Source organism: Homo sapiens, chromosome 2, assembly GCF_000001405.40.
Source record: "Homo sapiens chromosome 2, GRCh38.p14 Primary Assembly".
NCBI lineage: Eukaryota > Metazoa > Chordata > Mammalia > Primates > Hominidae > Homo > Homo sapiens.
Window position 1 is genome coordinate 140,824,243 of NC_000002.12, and position 20,417 is coordinate 140,844,659.

Genomic DNA, 20,417 nt, shown 5'->3' on the forward strand with positions numbered 1-20,417 from the left:
AAATACTCTTTTTTTTAAAAAAGTTACTATGCACTGTACTTTTAATCTGGTTTAATCTATATGAGGCCTTTTGGGATAGATCAAAAATTACAATTAATAGGGTTGAAATAAATGAGGGATTACTGTAAAAATTTTTTGATTTCATCTTTATTCCCTGTGCTAAGAAGATTTGTCAATAAGTAGATGACTATATTTATTTTTGCCTGTTCTTTAATTTTATGAGAAATCTGTCATTGAGGTGCTAATGAGAGCCCAGTGGCCACAGGGTTAGACAGGATAAGCTAGAGAAAAAGCAAGAGGAATAAGTGGAGAAGAAAATTTAGAAGTGTAACATTTCCAACTTTTTCTTCCTAGCTAGTCATGTACTTACATAGCAACCCAGGTGCATATACATAATATTTGTACCCTATATTTGAGAAAATAATGGTATAAATATAAATCTGGGAGCACTTTAATATGTTTTTTATTCCTTGGATACATCAAATGAAATGCAACATGAATCCATATCCAGGTCACCAAGTACGCACTTCCAGTGGAAATATTCTTTCTAAATATCACACATTCAAAAATTAATCTTATTCAACTGAGACATATCAATAAATCTTAGGTTTAGTCAATCCTGTAGAGACTCTTGCTATAGGACAGGAAACAGTATTCACTCAACAAATATTTATTGAAAATCTACTTATGTGCCAAAATTGTGCTATACGTTGAGGATATAATAGTAAATAAAGCAGATACGGTCCCTAGCTTTGTGGTGCTTCTCTTTTAGTTGATGAGGCAGTAGGTAATCATATATTCAACAAACAAATTAAAAATTTAAATGATAACAGAGCTAAAAAGTAAAATACAGTCCTAAAAGTGTCTGTTTTAGAAGAATTCAGCCTGGTCACAGAGGTCAGGGAAGGGTTCTTGGAAAACAACACTTGGCTTATTAGATAGGAGTGAGTGAACTAAACTAAGAAGAGATAGGAGACATTTCTGGGCAAAGAAATAACTTGTTAAAATGTAATATTAGTGAAAAGAGCCTAAAAATTGGGAGAATATCAAAGAAGGGAAATACAGCTGGAGTGGGAAGTTTCGGTCACACTGCACTTCCTTTTAGATTCTAAACTCCTTGAAGAAACTGTTCATATCACTTTTGGTCATGTTGTCTCCCAGTAACTGGCACATTATAGGAAGTCCTTTTTTTTTTTAGTTTTTTCTTCAAGACTCCCACATGCATACAAACCAACATGTGGATCTTCACCATGTTCCTTATGTTTTGTTTTGGTTTCTTCCCATCGGGATGTAAACATTGCAAAGCCAGTATTACATAAAGTCCTCTGTATCATCCATAGTGCCCAACATAATGCATTTAACGCATTAAGCTAGTAGCTGTGTATAATATTAGTCGTAACATAATCATAATTCATGTATTTTGATGAATTTAGATTTTAAAAAGAAGGATCAATTGTGGAATTTTTTTTTTCTTTAACAGAGCTCGTATTTAGATTATAGGTAAACAATTATGGAAATCAACATTTGAACCAACATAAACACAACTACTACACTTGCAAGGATATACAGCAGTGGATAAACTACAGAAAGGTTTGTGTTCAAAACATGTAATGCTTACTTTCATGTGTCAACATGGCTAGGCTGTGATACCCAGTCATTCAATCAAATACTGTCTTGGGTGTTGCTGTGGAAGTATTTTGCTGATGTGATAACTATCTGCAATCAGTTGACTTTAAGTAAGGGAGATTATACTCAAAAATCTGGATGGTCCTGATTCAATCAGTTGAAAGGCCTTATGAACAGAATTGAGGTTTCCCTGACAAAGAAACTCATTTTGTCGTCTTCAGCTTCAGCTCCTGCCTGAGAGTGTCAAGCATGTCTTTAGTGATAGCCTGCCTAAGGGCTAGCCAGTTTTCAGGATCTCATAAGTCAAAATTTTGCAACAAATAACATATATGTAGGTATACATATACATCAGGTCCTTGAATAACATTTTGGTATAACATTGACAAGGGAAAAAAATGATTCCCACCTGGGGCCACTATCTGTATGGAGTTTGCCTGTTCTCCCCATGTCTGTGTGGGTTTTCTCTGAGTGCTCTGGTTTCATCCCACATCCCAAAAATATGCATGTTAGGTTAATTGGCATGTTTAAATTGCCCCAGTTGAAGAGACTGACACCATCAAAATTGCAGAAGAGAAGCCAGATGGCTTCACTCTCCCCAAGAGAAAACCAAAAATAATTATCCAGTGCCAAGATGATCACCAGCAACATCCAGGAACTCAAGTCTGAGACTGAGATGATCCCTGAAGCCATAGAGAAGTGAAAAACTCTGAACAGACAGTAAGAGAAATGGGCCTTTCGATTCATAATGCCCCTCCCCCAATCTGCCAGGCACCATGCATGAATGATTCCTCCTAGACTCATGGTTTCTGCACTGGAAAAAGTGAGATCAAGGCAGAGCCAGCTTCCCTAGCATCTTGGATCCCCTTTTAAGAAAACTATTACTGTCTGGACCCACAGGAAGAATCATGAGGGCCTGTAGGGAGAAAACCCCTGAGGGCAGCTAGAGACACAAAGGGGAGGTGGGATTAGAAACCTCAGCCTGTGAAACACTGTTCTTTATCTCAGCCAAGGGGACACCAAATAAAAGTAGCTATTTAGCAGCAACACACCATAGGAGGCAATCTCAATGAGTATTCTGAGCATGAAGACCCAGCCAGTCTCCTACAGAGCCAAGGTATCCTCGTTAGGAACCCCACTCCAATTCAGGACCAGAAGTGTTCTGAACACCTGTGAGAGCCAAGGTAAATTTGGGATTAATATGCCATCTAATGCCCCCCAAAAAAGCCATCAATCTAGGATTAAGTTGATTTACAAGTGACTGCAAAGAAACTCTAAGCAAACATACCCTAGAAAACCAACACAAGCCAGACACAAGTAAAGGCCTTCAATGAAAAGCTATAGACATACATCCATAAGAAACTACAGCAAACAGGGAACCAAGACCTCCTCAAATGGACAAAACAAAGAGCCAGTGACTAACCCTAGTGAGACAGCAATTTGTGAGCTCTCAGATCAAGAATTCAAAATGGTAGTTCTGAAGAAACTCACTGAACTCCCAGGTAACATGGAAAATCAATTCAGAAACTTATCAGAGAAAGTAACAAATAATAAAATAATAATTTTTAAAAATCAAACAGAAATCTTAGAAGTGAGAAACAAGTTTCCTGAACTAAAAAATGTACTAGAGGCAACAGCAGAATGGATCAAGCAGAAGAAAATAAGTAAGCTTAAAGAGAGGCTATCAGAAAACATACAGTAAAAGGATAAAAAAGAAAAATAATAAAAAGAAATGAAGAACACCTGCAAGATATAGGGAATAACCTCAAAAGTGTAAATCTAAGAGTTATTAGCATATAAGGGAGTTGAGAAAGAGCAAGGGGGTAGAAAACTTACTCAAAGAAATAATAACAGAAAACATACCAAACCTAAAGATAAAAATATCTAGTTATAGGAAGATCAGAGATCACCAAACAGATTCAACCCAAATAAGACTATCCCAAAGCATATAATAATCAAGTTCTGAAAGGTTAAAGACAAAGCAAGGATCCTAAAAGCATCAAGAGATAAGAAGCAAATAACACATAAAGGAGCTCCAATTCACTTGGCAATAGACTTCTCAATGGAAACCATATAGGCCTGGAGAGAGTGGGGTGACATAGTTAAATTACTGAAAGAAAAAAGCTGCTGAGCAAGAATACTGTACCCAGAAAGCTTTCCTTCAAACATGAAAGAGAAATACAGTCTTTCCCACACAAACAAAAGCTGAGGGAACTCGCAATCACTAGATCCATCCTACAAAAAAAAACTCTAAAGGGAATTCTTCAATATGCAAAAAAAAGATGCTAATATACAAAAAGAAAACAATTGAAGGTCTAAAACTCATTGCTAAAAGTAAGTATAAAGACAAATTCATAATACTCCAAAAATAAGTAACAAAATGGCAGTAGTAAGTCCTTACTTATCAAAAATAACATTGAATGTAAATAGATTAAATTCTCCAATTTTTAAAAGACACAAAGGGCCGGGCGCGGTGGCTCACGCCTGTAATCCCAGCACTTTGGGAGGCCGAGGCAGGCGGATCACGAGGTCAGGAGATCGAGACCATCCTGGCTAACACGGTGAAACCCCGTCTCTACTAAAAATACAAAAAATTAGCCGGGCGTGGTAGCGGGCGCCTGTAGTCCCAGCTACTCGGGAGGCTGAGGCAGGAGAATGGCGTGAACCTGGGAGGCGGAGCTTGCAGTGAGCCGAGATCGCGCCACTGCACTCCAGCCTGGGCGACAGAGCGAGACTCCGTCTCAAAAAAAAAAAAAAAAAAAAAAATACAAAAAATTAGCCGGGCGTGGTAGCGGGCGCCTGTAGTCCCAGCTACTCAGGAGGCTGAGGCAGGAGAATGGCGTGAACCCGGGAGGCGGAGCTTGCAGTGAACCGAGATCGCGCCACTGCACTCCAGCCTGGGCGACAGAGCGAGACTCCGTCTCAAAAAAAAAAAAAAAAAAAAAAAAAGACACAAAGCAGCTGAATAATTTTTTTATTCAGGCTTTTTTATTTAGGCTATATGCTACTTGTAAGAAACTCATTTCACCTACAAAAAGACACACATCGGCTGAAAGTAAAGAGATGGAAGAAGATAGCCCATGTAAATAAAAATCAAAAGCAGAGCAAGAGTAACTATTCTTATAGTAGATAAAACAGACTTTAAATCAAACTTAAAAGGAGACAAAGAAGGTCAACATATAATAAAAAAGAGATTAATTCAGTAGTAGGATTTAACAATTGTAAATATATATGCATCCAACACCAAGGCACCGAAATATATAAAGCAAATATTAATAAATCTAAAGGGAGAGAGAGAGACTGTAACACAATAATAATGGAGGAATTTAACACCTCACTCTCAGTAATTGACAGATCATTGAGATGGAAAATCAACCAAGAAACAGTGATGTTAAACTACACTCTAGACCAAATGAATCAAACTGACATTTACAGAGTATTTTGTCCAACAGCTACACAATGCACATTCTTCTCATCAGCACATGGAACATTTTCCAGAATAGGATCTATGTGAGGCCACAAAATAAGTCTCAACAAATTCAAAAAAGTCAAAATTGTATCAAGTTTCTCTCTGACCACAATGGAATAAAACTAGAATTCAATAATAAGAGAAACTTAGAAACAATACAAACACATGACAATTAAACAACATGCTCCTGAATAATCAATGGGTCAATGAAGAAATGAAGAAGGAAATTTTGAAAATTTCATGAAACAAATAAAATTAGAAAAACATAACATACCAAAACTATGCTATAAAGCAAAATCAGGGAAGTTTACAGCAATGAACACCTACATCAAAAAGTTAAAAGATTTTAAATGAACATCCCAATGAGGCACTCAAGGAACTAGACAAGCAAGAATAAACCAATCCCAAAAGTAGTAGAAGAAAAATAATGATAAGGATCCAAACAGAAATAAATACAATTGAGAATAAAAAATAATATAAAAGATAAATGACATAAAAAGCTATTTTTTAAAAGACAAAATTGACAAACCTTTAGCTAGACTAATTAAGGAAAAGAAAGAAAAGACAAAATCAGAAACAAAAAAAGGAGACATAACAGCTGATACCACATAAATACAAATAATCATTAGGGACTATTACGAACAACTAAACACTAACAAATTGGAAAACCTACAATAAACGGATAAATTTCTGAATACATACAACCTACAAAGACTGAACCATGAAGAAATAGAAAAGCCAAACAGACCAGTAATGAGTAATGAGATTAAATGAGAATAAAAAATACTCCATCAAAAAAAACCCCAGGACCTACCTGATGACTTCACTAGCAAATTATACCACACATTTAAATAAGAACTAATGCCAATTCTACTCAAAGTATTTATAAAACTCGAAGTGGAGGGAATACTTCCAAACTCATTCTAAGAGGCCAGCATTTCCCTGATGTTAAAACCAAAGACATGACAAAAACTAGGAAAACTATATCCCTAATAAACATAGATGCAAAAATCTTCAACAAAATACTAACAAACCAAATTCGACAACATATTGAAAAGATTATTCACCACAATCAAGTGGGAATTATTCCAGTGATACAAGGATGGTCCAACCTATGCAAATTAATAAATATGATAAATCACATTAACAGAATGAAGGACAAAAGACATATAATCATTTCCTTAGATGAAAAAGCATTTTAAAAAATTCAACATCCCTTTATGATAAAAAGTACTTCTCAGCAAACTGGGTATAGAAGAATCAGACCTCAAAACAATGAAGGCCATATATAATAAATCCAAAGCTAACTTCATACTGAGTGGAGAAAAAATGAGAGCTTTTCCTCTAAGTTCTGGAACAAGACAAGGATGTTTCTATTACTACTTATTTTCAACATAGTACTGGACGTCCTAGCAAACTAGAAAGGAAGAAGGCAAATTATTTTTGTTTTAAGATGCATGATATTATACTTAGGAAAACCAAAAGTCCCCACCAAAAATCTATTAGAACTGATAAACAAATTCAATAATGTTGCCGGATTTATCACACAATAATCAGTGGCATTTATATCAGCCAATGGTGAGCAAACTGAAAAAGAGATTAAGAAACAATCCCATATGCAATTGCTACAAAAAATATAAAATGCCTAGAAATAAATTTAACCAAAGAAATAAAAGATCCCTACAAAGAAAACAATAAACTACTGATGAAAGAAATTGAAGAACACACACAAATAAGCAAAGATATTCCATGCTCATGGAGTAGAACAATTAGAATTGGTAAAATGTCAACACTACCCAAAGCTACCCACAGATTATATGCAATCTCTATCAAGAAACCAATGATGTTACAGAGCCACAAAAGACCCCAAATAGCCAAAACAATCCTAAGCAAATAAATAAATAAAGACAGAGACATCACATTACTTGACTTCAAAATGTAGTACAAAGACATAGTAAACAAAACGGCATGGTGCGATATAAAAACAGACATAGAGAACAGTGGAACACGCTAGAGAACTCAGAAATAAATCCATACACTTACAGCCAATACATTTTTGACAAAGGCACCATGAACATACATGGTAGAAAGGACAATATCTTCAATAAATAGTGCTGGGAAAACTAGATATCCCTATGCAGAAGAATGAGACTAGATTCCTATCTCTTGCCAAATATAAAAGTCAAATCAAAATGAATCAAAGCTTGAATCTAAGATGTAAAACTATTAAACTACTGAAAGAAAACATTTGGGCAACACTTCAGGACATGGGTCTGGGCAATGATTCCTTGGCTAAACTTTCAAAAGCACAGGCAACAAAAGCAAAAATAGCAAATGGGATTATATGAAACAAAAAGGTTTCTGCACAGCAAAGGAAACAATCAACAAAGAGAAGAACAAATCTACAGAATGGAAGAAAATATTTACAAACTATCCATCTGACAAGATATCAATAACCAAAATATATAAGGAACTCAATTCAATAGCAAAATAACTAATAATGTGATTTTAAAATGGGCAAAAGATCTGAGTAGGCATGTCTCAAAAAAAGACACACAATTGGCCAACAGATATATGAAAAAATGTTTAACATCACTAACCATCAGGGTAATGTCACACAAAACTACAATGGGATATCACCTCACCCCAGTTGGAATGGTTATTATCAAAAAGACAAGAAGTAACAGTAGCTAGTGAGGAGGTACAGACATGGGAACACTCCTATGTTGTTGGTGGGAAAGTAATTTAATACAGTTGACCTTCAATCGACAATGGTTTGAACTGCATGGGTTCACTTATATATGATTTTTTTTTCAAAGAAGGACAGATTGAAAATACAGGGTATTCACAGGATGCAAAACCCACATATTTGGAGGGCCAACTTTTTGTGTACCCACTCCTTCAGGGTGGACTCCACAATCTGAGTATGTGTGGATTTTGGTATATGTGGGTGGTCCTGGAACCAATCCCCCATGTATACTGAGGGACTGTACAGCCACTATGGAAAACAGTATGAAGATTCTCCAAAAGACTAAAAATAGAGCTACCATACGATCCAGCAATCTCACTGCTGAGTATATATTCAAAAGTAAGAAATGTAGTATATAAAGAGATACCTGCACTAGCATGTCTATTGCAACACTATTTACAATAATCATAAGTGTCTATCATTAGCTGGATGGATAAACAAAATGAGGTACATATACACAATGGAATATTATTCAGCCATAAAAAAGAATGAAATTCTGTCATTGGCAACATGCATGGAGTGTCAGGTCATTATGTTAAGAGAAATTGGCGAGGCACAGAAGGACAAATACCACATGTTCTCCCACATATATGGAAGCTAAAAAAGTAGATCTCTTGTGGGTAGAGAGTTGATTGGTGGTTGCAAGAGGCTGGAGAAGGAACAAAGGAGTAGGGGGATGAAGAAAATTTGGACAATCGGTACAAAAGTACAGTTAGAAAGAATAAGATCTAGTGTTTGATAGCACAGTAGAATGACTACAGTTAACAATAATGTATTGTCTAGTTCAAAATAGCTAGAAGAGATGTTCCCAATGTAAAGAAAAGTTACAGATTTGAGGCAATGGATATCTCAATTTCCTTGATTTAATCTTTACATATTATATGCATGTATCAAAATATCACAGGCATTCCACACCATGCATTATCATTATATATCAGTTAGAAAAAGATTGTCCCAATATAAGTGAGGGTATGTGTGTGCATGAGTGTGCCCTGTGATGAAATAGTGTCCTTTCCAGTGTTGGTTCCCACCTTGTACTCTGAGCTGTCAGGATAAGCTTCAGTAATCCTGTGACCTTAAACTGGAATAAATGGGTTAGAGAATGAATGAATGAATGAATACAAATTATTGTCAAATAAAAGTTTGTAAAGTACACAATAATCACACAAATCCACAACAATCAATGATGTGGTATGAAAGTACTCAGCAAGCCTGCCATATTTGTTATTGTTTGGTTTTAAACTATGTGGCAGTAGGAGGCGTTCTTTACCATTGTCACTTGGCAAACATTTATTTCTTGGCTTAGCCCACCACAACTATGACCACCATCACTCACTGATTCACCAAAAATTGGTTAAAATCTTACGTGTTTTTATTAGTGTTTCTTAAATGTATGTATGCCTCACATTTATTTCAATGCTTAATATTACAAGTGTTTTGGGTCTTTATTTAGAAATTTATTAATGTTTTTGTTGCCAGATACATGCTCTAGAAACAGCTCTTGTTTATATTACTGAGCCTATGGTGAAATTGTTTTCTTTATATGTCCTTTGGCTTTAAAGTCACAGTTTCCAAGAACATGTTGATGATGTTAAGTGGTGACTTACTGTATATACATATATACACACCCATAATTGGCTTTCTTTCTCTGGTAGAACTCTGACTATTGTGGGTCTGTTTTTCAGAGTCAGCTGGTGAACGAACATGTTAGTGTACAAATTTTTTACAAAGGTTATGTTTAATATGTTTTAAAGGGGTTAAAAAAATCCCTGAAACAAAGGCTTAATTTTATAAATGAGAATCAAAACCATAAGCACAGTTTATTGTCTACACTAACATGACTTTACTATTTTACTGTTTTTAATAACATAACATTACTAGCCCAAGAAATTATTGCCCAGGAAGATAAAAGTTGCCGATACTATTGTTTATTTCAAGATCTTCCTGAGAGACTCATCAACTCTTCAGCAAGAAAAGCATAAAACAACATTTTATAACTTAAGGCTCTTCAAACAACTTCCCCTCAGAATCTTTTTGCTGTTCTAACCAGTCTGAAATTTTTATATAATGATCCTTACTCAATCCTAACCATACCTTCATTTGAAAGACCTACCTTAAACCAGACTTTAAAATCTCAATTGCCATCTGTTTTTTATTTTTATTATTATTTTTTGAGACGGAGTCGCTCACTCTGTCATCAGGCTGGAGTACAGTGGCACGATCTCGGCTCATTGCAACCTCTGCCTGCTGAGTTCAAGCGATCCTCCTGCCTCAGCCTCTCGAGTAGCTGGGACTACAGGCGCATGCCATCATTCCCAGCTAATTTTTGTATTTTCAGTAGAGACGAGGTTTCACCATTTTAGCCAGGATGATCTGGATCTCATGACCTCGTGATCTGCACACCTTGGCCTCCCAAAGTGCTGGGATTACAAGCGTGAGCCCCCGCGCCTGGCCATAAATCTAAATTACAATTTCGGCTTTGCTCTTTCCTCTCTTAGATACTACTAAGACTTGGCCAGTTAGTGTTCTCTTTTACCACTGTCAAGAAGAAAGTCAGCTGTGTCTAAACAGCGGGTCGTTTTGGTAACACTTGGAGGAGCCAGAACCAACAGAGGAAAGAAGATGAAAATAAACTCATGAGTTCACCATCCAGAATTGAAACTACTAACATTTCATTATACCTAATTTGAATACTTTTATTAAATATAAACTAAATTTAACTCATACTGTTAAAATTACCTTTGATAAAGAAGAAAGTTCTCTTTCAGATGTCATTATTGACTCTTCCCTAAATCAAATGCTATTATAAAATTGGTGTGTAAATTTCCAGTTCACTTTTTTTCTATAGTTTTAAAATAAGCATATCTGGGAGCAACGTATATTAATATTTTATGTTTCATTTTGAAATTATACAAATGGTATCATACTATAAGTATGTAAGTAACATTCTGCTAATAACTTTTCTCAATGGTTTTGAAATGTATGTGAAGGAAATGAAAATATGCCACGCCAAAATATACTTCTTTGGTCTATTTTGAGATGACTACTCAGAGGGGCGGCAGACACAGGAATAGTTCTGAAAAGCTCTCCTTAGTAGGGAAGACTTGCATCTGTTGAGAAAATCTACGTTAGTGAAGTAAAACACAGACGTAAGAGCTTCATCTGAGGTCTTCTTATCTGCATTATCTGGAGACAGGAAAAACTTAACTCACAGGAAAAGGAAACTAAACGTCTGACATTATTACAGATATGACAGAGAAACTTTTACCACAGGCTCCCATCTATTCTTTTTGAGGGCTGCCACCTGTGAGGCTTCACCTGCATAAAGACAACCTTCACTTGCCACGTCTTTTCTCCCCTTTCCCTCCCATAACCTGCCGCCAGGCTCCAAGTCACTATTCCTTTCTATATAGTATAAAAACTTCAGTCACATTGCTCTTTTTATTTTATTTTTATTTATTTATTTATTTTGAGATGAAGTTTCGCTCTTGTTGCACAGGCTGGAGTGCAATGGCACGACTTTGGCTTACTGCAACCTCCGCCTCCCAGGTTCAAATGATTCTCCTGCCTCAGCCTCCCAAGTAACTGGGATTACAGGCGCTCGCCACCACGTCTGGCTAATGTTTTGTATTTTCAGTAGAGATGGGTTTTCACCATGTTGGCAAGGCTGGTCTCAAACTCCTGACCCCAGGTGATCCACCTGCCTCAGCCTCCCAAAATGCTGGGATTACAGGCGTGAACCACCGCACCTGGCCACATGCCTATTTTTAGAGTTTTATATTTGCAGGACTCCTGCGTCCATGTGCACGTTAATACAGTTGAATACCTTTTTTGTCCTGTTAATCTGCCTATTGTTAATTTACTTCAGCAGACTTAGACTCAAACTTCCAAAGGGAAAGTTTGAACTTCCCTACATATATACGTATGTAAGTAGACACACACACATCTGTATGTACATATCATACTTTAGCAATGAAAATGTTGCATTTATTTACTCATTCCTCTTTTAATGAAGATGTAGGCTCTTCTAAATTTTTTTAATATTATGATTTAATGTACTTTCTTGAACACATATATAGGAACTCTTTAGAGTATATAAGTATGGAATTGCTAGAACATGAGATATTGCATATGGGCCTTTAATTCTAAAAATAACCACAAAAGTTATATACTATTATCTCCATTGTATAGATATGCAACTGTGCCTTAGAAAAGGTAAGAGATTTGTTTAAAGTCACAGAGTTAATAAGCATCAAAGCAGTGATTCATACTCAGATTTGTTCGGTTCCTCAAATAACATTTTTTTCCCAACCATGTTGTCCCTGAAACACGACAAAAAGAATGTTTTATGTGTATGTGAAAATTGCTATACATTGTCCCTAATTTCTAGATTTCTGAATTTTCTTTTTCTTCTTGTACTTAGACTTTGAACAATTTAATTCACTTAATTTGGATTGGCAAATCCAAATGGTGAATGCTACCAAAGGAGATGTTAGTGATCTACGAACATTGCTCATGGTAGGGAGATGGGAGACAATAGAGGCAAGGGAGACTTCATCTGCTCACTTTCTTCTTGTGGGTGTCTAAAATAAGGATTTCTGGGGCAGACAGAGATGTGACAGTATATAGCAAGCTGGGGAATTGCTGAGGAGCATCCATATTTTGGAAGTATTTAAAAAAAAAGTATTGCATTTATATATGGACAACACAGCTTTTCATTACGCATTGGGGAGACTATCAATCTTGGCACCTGCTTAACAGGAATTGCAAGCTAAAGTGGAAAGTTACTGGAAGGTGCTTAACCTTAAACTTGTTTGCCCCTTAGCATGAGCAGCAAAGCAGTACAGAGTTAAATCCCCACATTTGTATAAACATTTGGTCATTTCAGAGGCCCACTTGGTTACATATATTTCCTCTACTACATTGCTACGGAATCTATTCTGTTTATTTTCACTAAACTCACTTAGAGTCTTAATACTACAATCATATGATTTGAATTCCAGTCTATTGGACCTAATGTACATACTACCGCTATTACTGACAGTTTCTATTATTAAGGGCCAGATGTCTTGCTTCATAAATTTTTCTCATTCAGTTCTCATGAGATCTTTATAAAAGAAGAGATTTTGTCTTGATTATATGAGTAAGGAAACCAAGGACACCAAGCTAACAGTAACTTGCTCAAGGGCACTGAGTTAAATTTATTTAATGGAGTCTAAAATAATTTAGGTTCCTGTGCCCCTTAAGGAAAAGGACAGTGTCAAATTTTTATCAACAGGCCTAGTGCAAAATCCGATACTCAATAAAAATCTATTTATTGAATAAATGAATGTTTGACTCACAGCCATATTCAATGCTGATTTAAGGTATAGTCAGTTATGCTAAAATAGTATGTCTTGTACAAATTAAAACTTTTAAAAAGTGTCATTTTGAAAATCTATTTTTTAAAAATTTTCAAATATAATTACTGACATAAAGTAGACATGTATTATTGAATGTTCAATCATCATCCTTATGCAGTTAAAAATATACTTGGTGAGTTCATGACCTTTGTAGGGACATGGATGAAGCTGGAAACCATCATTCTCAGCAAACTATCACCAAGGACAAAAAACCAAACACCGCATATTCTCACTCATAGGTGGGAATTGAACAATGAGAACACATGGACACAGGAAGGGGAACATCACACACCACCGGGGACTGTTGTGGGGTGGGGGGAGGGGGGAAGGATAACATTTGGAGATATACCTAATGCTAAATGATGAGTTACTGGGTGCAGCACACCAACATGGCACGTGTATACACATGTAACTAACCTGCACGTTGTGCACATGTACCTGAAAACTTAAAGTATAATTAAAAAAAAATATATCACTTGGTGAACAACATCTGAGGGGCCAGCTATAAATTGTGAATAGGTAACATGAGTACCTCTCTTATAAACTTTTTTTTTTTATTATAAGCTGTTAGGCCTTTTATTAAAAAAATTCTGAATAGGAAACTGGATATTTAGTATTAGAAAAGATAAGGTTTTCACCATTATGGAAATAAGCATATAAATTAACATTTTGGTATAAACTATGATTGCCAAATTACAATGTAAGGACTTGATTTGCTTATGCTATTTCTATCATACTCATTTTTCAATGTTACATATTCTGAACAATTCCAGATAAGTACCAACTGAATTGCCTTAGTTCAAATTAAGTCCTTTGTATGGGTCCTAATCTTGTAGAACCCCTTGTTTCTTTTGTTCTATCATTTTCCACATAGAAGTATTAGCGTTTCAATTTGCCTTTAATTTCTAATACAACCCTGACTTTCAATTATGTAAAAATCTTAGAACAAACTGTCTAAAGAAGAAAATAGCTGTTAACAGTATCATTTTATATGAGAGGTTTATTCTATAGACCACATGAAAAGAATTATTTATTGCAAATCTTAGTGATACTACACCTTTATTGAATCATCACTATGAAAAATGTGCTACTTCAAGTAGCCCTAAATTTCTAAAACTAAGAAAAAATCGACAAGCTTCATGATATATTGATTCTTTTCCCAGATTCAAAAAATGTATAGTATTCAATTGAAACAAAATAATGAATTTTCTATTGTATATCCCATCATTTGCATCTTTATGATAATAATATCAAAATTGAGGCTTACTAAATTTTTAAAAGGTATTCTGAAATGACAAATAGGCCCTGTAACAATTTTTGCTTCTCAAAGGTATGAAAGAAAACATGAGGAAAAAGTGATTAAGGTTCGAAACAGTATTATAATATAGACATCTACATGCATATGGGTAAAATATTATATTCTAAGAGAATTTTTATACTTAATATTTTCAAAGATGTTTCTTGGGAACAAGTCAAGGTTCCCTGTCAGTGCCATCACGTTATAGCTGATGATTTGCAATGGTTGGCAAAGGTAGAATAAGAAACTAAATGAACAGAGTGAATAAAGACTAAATACTAAATACCAAAACCCAAAACCTTGTAATTATCAATAATGACACAATAATGATGATCAGGAAAAGACTCAGTAGTTATACTGCCACTGTAGCATTGTATCAGATATTTCACCAGTGAAAATAAGAGATTGATTAATTAAATTAAATTAATGTAACTTCATTATTTAATACATTGCAAAAATTATCATGTTAAAAAATTAATCTTCCTATTCAGATAAAGAATGTTTCCTCCTTGCCTAATATGATGGTTAATATTGAGTGTCAACTTGTTTGGATTGCAGGATGCAAAGTATTGTTCCTCGGTGTGTCTGTGAAGCTGTTGCCAAAGGAGATTAACATTTGAGTCAGTGCACTGGAAGAAGCAGACCCACCCTCAATCTGGGTGGGCACCACCTAATCAGCTGCTAGCGTAAAAGCAGGCAGAGAAACAGCAGACTTGGTGAGTCTTCTGGCCTCCATCTTTATCCCATGCTGGATACTTCCTGCCCTCAAACGTCACACTTCAAGTTCTTCAGCTTTTAGACTCTTGGACTTAACCAGTGATTTGCAAGGGGCTCTCAGGCCTTTGGCTACAGACTGAAGACTGCGCTGTCGGCTTTCCTACTTTTGAGGTTTTAGGACTCGGACTAGTTTGCAGCTCCTCAATTTGCAGATGGCCTATTGTGGGACTTCACCTTGTGATCCTGTGAGTCAATTCTCCTAATAACTCCCACTTTGTATGTTCATTTATCCTATTAGTTCTGTCCCTTTAGAGAACCTTGACTAATAAACCTAACAGAAACCCAATGGATTCAATGAAATTGGTCAGTTCCTGAATTTACTTATTTTACTAATCTTTAATATTTTCTTTCAGGATCTAGATCAAAGGTATATTGTACAAGTACAGGTTTGTCACATTGAAAACTTGGTGACTATTAAAAAAAATACTTACCAACTGGCTCCTTCTGATTCTGAAACAGAATCTTGCTATTACTGCCATCCATATTTGCCATGTTAATTGTGTTTCCATCGGTCCAGTAGAGTTTTCTTAATTCAAAAGACATATGGATTGAAAATATTAGATGTAGACCTACTCACTGAGAAGAAATATACACTAAAAAACAAAGTAAACATCAAAATATATTCTTGACTCAGGATTAATTCTTTTCAGAAAACTCCAAAATTGTCCAGCCATTTGCCAGCAATAACCTACATATTTGCCTGAAAAGAAAGCACCACTCTTGCTTTTTCCTGTTAGTGAAGAAAAAATATCTCACTTCCTTTTTCCTCCTACATACAAGACTGAATATTTAGCTAAGACTATAGTAAATTATTTTCTTTGTTAAGTAATTCATCAAGATTGAATCCTCTTGGCTGTGAAGAAATCAGATGCCATAGAGGGTAACAAACTCATTTCTTCCATTGCTGTTGAAAGCACTAGGGAGAAAAACATCTCTTTTAGCTCTATGCAAGCTCCCTTAAGGGTACAAGGTGACTATCCAAATGATTGAAGAATCTGATCTACAAAGCAGTGACCATGATACCAACATGTAGCACATGCATTTTTAACCACTGGCTTTCAAAATGAAAGCAACCACTTTCTCCTACATCTCTTTTTATTCAGAACTGTCACTTCTTAGAAATATAAATTAATGAGATCTTACATATGTCACAGATATATGTTGGTGTAGGATATATATAATCTACAGATAATAAAACTCTAACCAGGAATCTCTTTTACAGTTTCCATATTTACTTTTTTTTTAACTCTTATGGCTGTTATATATATATCCTCTGAATTAAGCAATGTTTTTATATAAAATCAGGGCAAAAGTCTATGAAATTTTGGAAAAACTTTAAAAAAAAAATCATACTTTACCCCCTGACTGGGTGAGCTGCAAGACACTGTGGCTTATCGATTCCATGGATAATTGAGGTTTTCAAAGAGCCATCTAGCCTTGCCACATTAATTTGCGTTTCATCAAATTCTGAGCTAATCCAGTATAAATTACGTGACACCCAATCCACTGCTAGCCCTCTGATACTCTGAATATCTATAAAACAGGAAAGAGAAGATTTAAAGGTGAATGAAGTTTTTCATTGTACTGGCTCTGCAAGTAGTTATTTTCTATCTAAGGGAAAATTTAATTTATACTTTAATTTGTTAGCTAAAATCGCACAAGATTGTAATCTCATTCCCTTATCAGCCCTTCTTAAGGCATGAATAATCATTAATGTCTTACTGCTGAGCTATTTGAAAACCTGAAGCAACAATTAGCATTGAAATTACACTAACCGTCAATGATTCACTAATAAACACTTAGGAGCAAACACAGGCAGCAGTCTTATGAGCCAAGGTAACCAAAATTCAAATTAGAGTAATAGCTTCTCCAGTTGATAGCACATCTTTCTAGTTACGAGAAAGTACTTGTGGGCCATCAACAAATGGGCTATTTTATGTTTTAAGTGCCAATTTGTTACTAAAATGAAATAAAACAATTCAACTTTCCTAAAAGAATCACCAGAGTTGAATATATTTCAAAATAGATAATTAAGAGGAATTGACTGAGAAGAGAAAATCCACTAAAATTATTTTAACATCCCTTCAACGTGGATTCTGCAGAAAATTCTGAAATCGAATTAAGTTTGGATTTGTTACAGCCAATATAAATATTTTGGTTGTTATTCATTTATTATTGAATTAGACATCTTTTAAAACAATTATGGAATTTAGGCTTAAATATAATTGCACATTGCAACTTCCACTTAAAAACTGCACCTTTTCAAGAAAAAAAATGAGGTGTTATAAAGGATAAATGCAGAAAATCTTTTAAGAAATATTAACATATAAAGTAGGCCAGTTTAGTGCCCAATTTATAGCATTTGATTACCTTGATTTTGGTTTTACTTTAAAAAATTTTAGTATTTTCTAGCATTCTGTACTTATAGAGTTCTCTAGACTACTATTTCTCAAACTTACAAGACACCTGGAAACTGTTAAAATAAAGATTCTAATTCAGTAGTTCTGGGGAGAGGCCCAAGATTCTGTTACTGCTCAAGGTTGGTGATTCCAATCAAAACTTCTGAGCAGCTGCTACCTACCTCTAGTCGAATTGCTATAACTTCCCTTTTTATTCTTTTCAAAAGAAGCCAGAAAGCTAGATTTTTTAATGTGAAAGTGGAAACTCCAGATCTGTAAAGTATGCCAACTAGTTCAAAATGTAAGACAGCAAAACAAGATGTGGGGGCCTGGCAGTTCTGAGTCAGCCTTAAAGTGCAGTATTTGAATGGTAGGCTTCCAGCTTACATTTCCATGCCAGAATCTCAAGGGAGCCTACCTTGCTGCTCAAAAATCCTTTTAGTATTTCTAAGTAACTAATAATCACAGTTGCCTTAGAAGATACTACTCGTGGTTCCAGTTCTCTTCAAATCAAGAACCCTCTCACTCTGCAAATTACTTTTCGTGATTAATTTACAGGTGAGTTGGTGAATTTCAAATGTAAACTTGTTTCTCAATCTTAAACTTCACATTTCTTCTTATTTTTAGTTATCCTCAACCAATTTCATCTTTTTTTTTTTAGACAAAAGTAATATACCACCTCCTTAAAGTTAAACCTGCCACGTCTTATACATATTTATTTCCCTCACTCAGAATCTTTATTCCTTCTTCCCCTTCTTTCATTCTCTGGAGTTAATTGGTTGCTGAGAGGCTGTATTGATGTAATAAGAATATTTGGGTTGATGTTCAGGTTGACTGCCTATTTTTGTCATTAATCAAGTCACTTAAATGTCTTTTAGTCTTTTTTCTTACCTGTGAAATGGGCTATAGATAACACAGAGGATTGTTATGAATATTATAATACATTAGATAATGTGTATTTATGCAGCCTGATATGGGGCTGAAGAATATTTTGTCAGTCTAAGAACTTAATCTTTTCTGCATTTTACCTTGGATTTCTTGGTATTGGCAAAAATAATAAGTTTCTATTTACCCTAAAATACATGTTCTCCAAAGTGGTTTTTTTTTTGTTTTTTTTTTTTTGTTTGTTTTTTTTTTTTTTGTTTTTTTTTTGGTGGTGGGGGGTGAGGGGTAAGCATTGTCTCTGCTGCTCGAAATCCTTTTATTCATTTCTGATAGACTCTTAATAATATGGCCTGGAGAATATATTCCACTCCTAAATTGTAAAGCATAGCCAAATGAAAGCTATAAATATCTATCTAGTCTTTGTCAATTCTATAGTTCATGCTCTCTCAAATCTCTTTCCAGCTTTAATATTACAATAGTATCCAGCATTTCCTCCTCTAAGCAATTGATTTATTTGCTGCCAGGTTATTTTTCTGACTACAGAGCTTTGAATCATGACCTTCACTTGCCCCAAGGTATTCAACAGCTTCTAGCCACCCAGAATGTGATGTCTAAATTTCTTAGCCTGCTTTTCCATATAGCGTGACTATAGCTACAGTTCTTTCCCAGTCTTATTTCTCACTATTTTTAACCAAATACTTTACACTTTAACCATATTAATATGTTTTCAGATTTCCAGATATTACCTGATCTTTCCACACTATAGGGAAACTATTTAGATTTCATAACCTACCCCCATCTCCACTTGCCTGAATTTTATTCATAATAGGCTAGCTGATCAACAACATCATCCCTTCAACCACAAAAACCTAATCATGTCTCTTGTGTATCTCAGCTGGAAAGAGTTTCTCCACCTGCCTAATTCAATAGAACCGTACCTGGTCAATCTCTTTTTACCTAATGTAGTCATTACTTTGCTAATATATAACTACTTTCACATATGTGTTTTGAGGGCAGGCTCCTTGCTAATGTGTCTTTTTGGCCCCTCTCCCCAGTTGCATACAACATTGCCTTCAACGTAAATATTTTTAATGAATTAATGAATTCATGAACTATAAAATCTAAAATTTTAAGAGTATGTGAACTGAGCTAAAATAAGTCAAATATGTCTATGTTGAGGAGTATGTATTTAAATACGTACTCAAGCAATCTTAATTCTAACTTTTTTTTTTTTTGAGATGAAGTTTCACTCTTGTTGCCCAGGCTGGAGTGCAATGGCAAGATCTCGCCTCACCACAACCTCTGCCTCCTGAGTTCAAGCAATTCTCCTGCCTCAGCCTCCCGAGTAGCTGGGATTACAGGCATGCGCCACCACGCCCAGCTAATTTTTTTGTATTTTTAGTAGAGGTTGGGTTTCTCCATGTTGATCAGGCTGGTCCCAAAGTCCTGACCTCAGGTGATCCACCCACCTCGGCCTCCCAAAGTGCTGGGATTACAGGCATGAGCCTAATTAGGCGCCCAGCCTAATTCTAATTTTTTATGCTTAACATTTTTCTCCCACCAGATTGAACTTTCTAATTATCATCTTTATGTCTAAAAGAATACTCTTCTTTTTGACTATCAATCACTAATTCCCACATCTGGTTGTTGCAGAGTGCTCTGGTAAACTCATCATAAGCATATGGGGGTGGGGGTGGAATAAAAATCGTTATATATTTAATAATATTTTTCTTTTTGATAAAATATTGAAATAATAAATTCTAGGTTTTAACTTTTGTTTTTAAGTAAATCAGAACAAGATCTCTGAGTAAGTTTC

General features: G+C 35.3%; 1 protein-coding gene across 4 annotated transcripts in view; it reads right to left on the reverse strand.

Annotated features, from left to right (window-relative positions):
* LRP1B (LDL receptor related protein 1B) overlaps positions 1 to 20,417 on the reverse strand; it is a 1,899,594-nt gene that overhangs the window by 592,820 nt on the left and 1,286,357 nt on the right. For 3 of the 4 annotated variants that reach the window (NM_018557.3, XM_017004341.2, XM_047444771.1), the window contains exons 30-31: positions 16,676 to 16,850; positions 15,749 to 15,843 (exon numbers count right to left, since the gene is read on the reverse strand). In NM_018557.3, the coding sequence (NP_061027.2) occupies positions 15,749 to 15,843; positions 16,676 to 16,850 (270 nt within the window). Of the gene's footprint in view, positions 1 to 15,748; positions 15,844 to 16,670; positions 16,851 to 20,417 lie in introns of those variants that run through there. The other variant, XM_017004342.1, reaches the window with a different exon arrangement.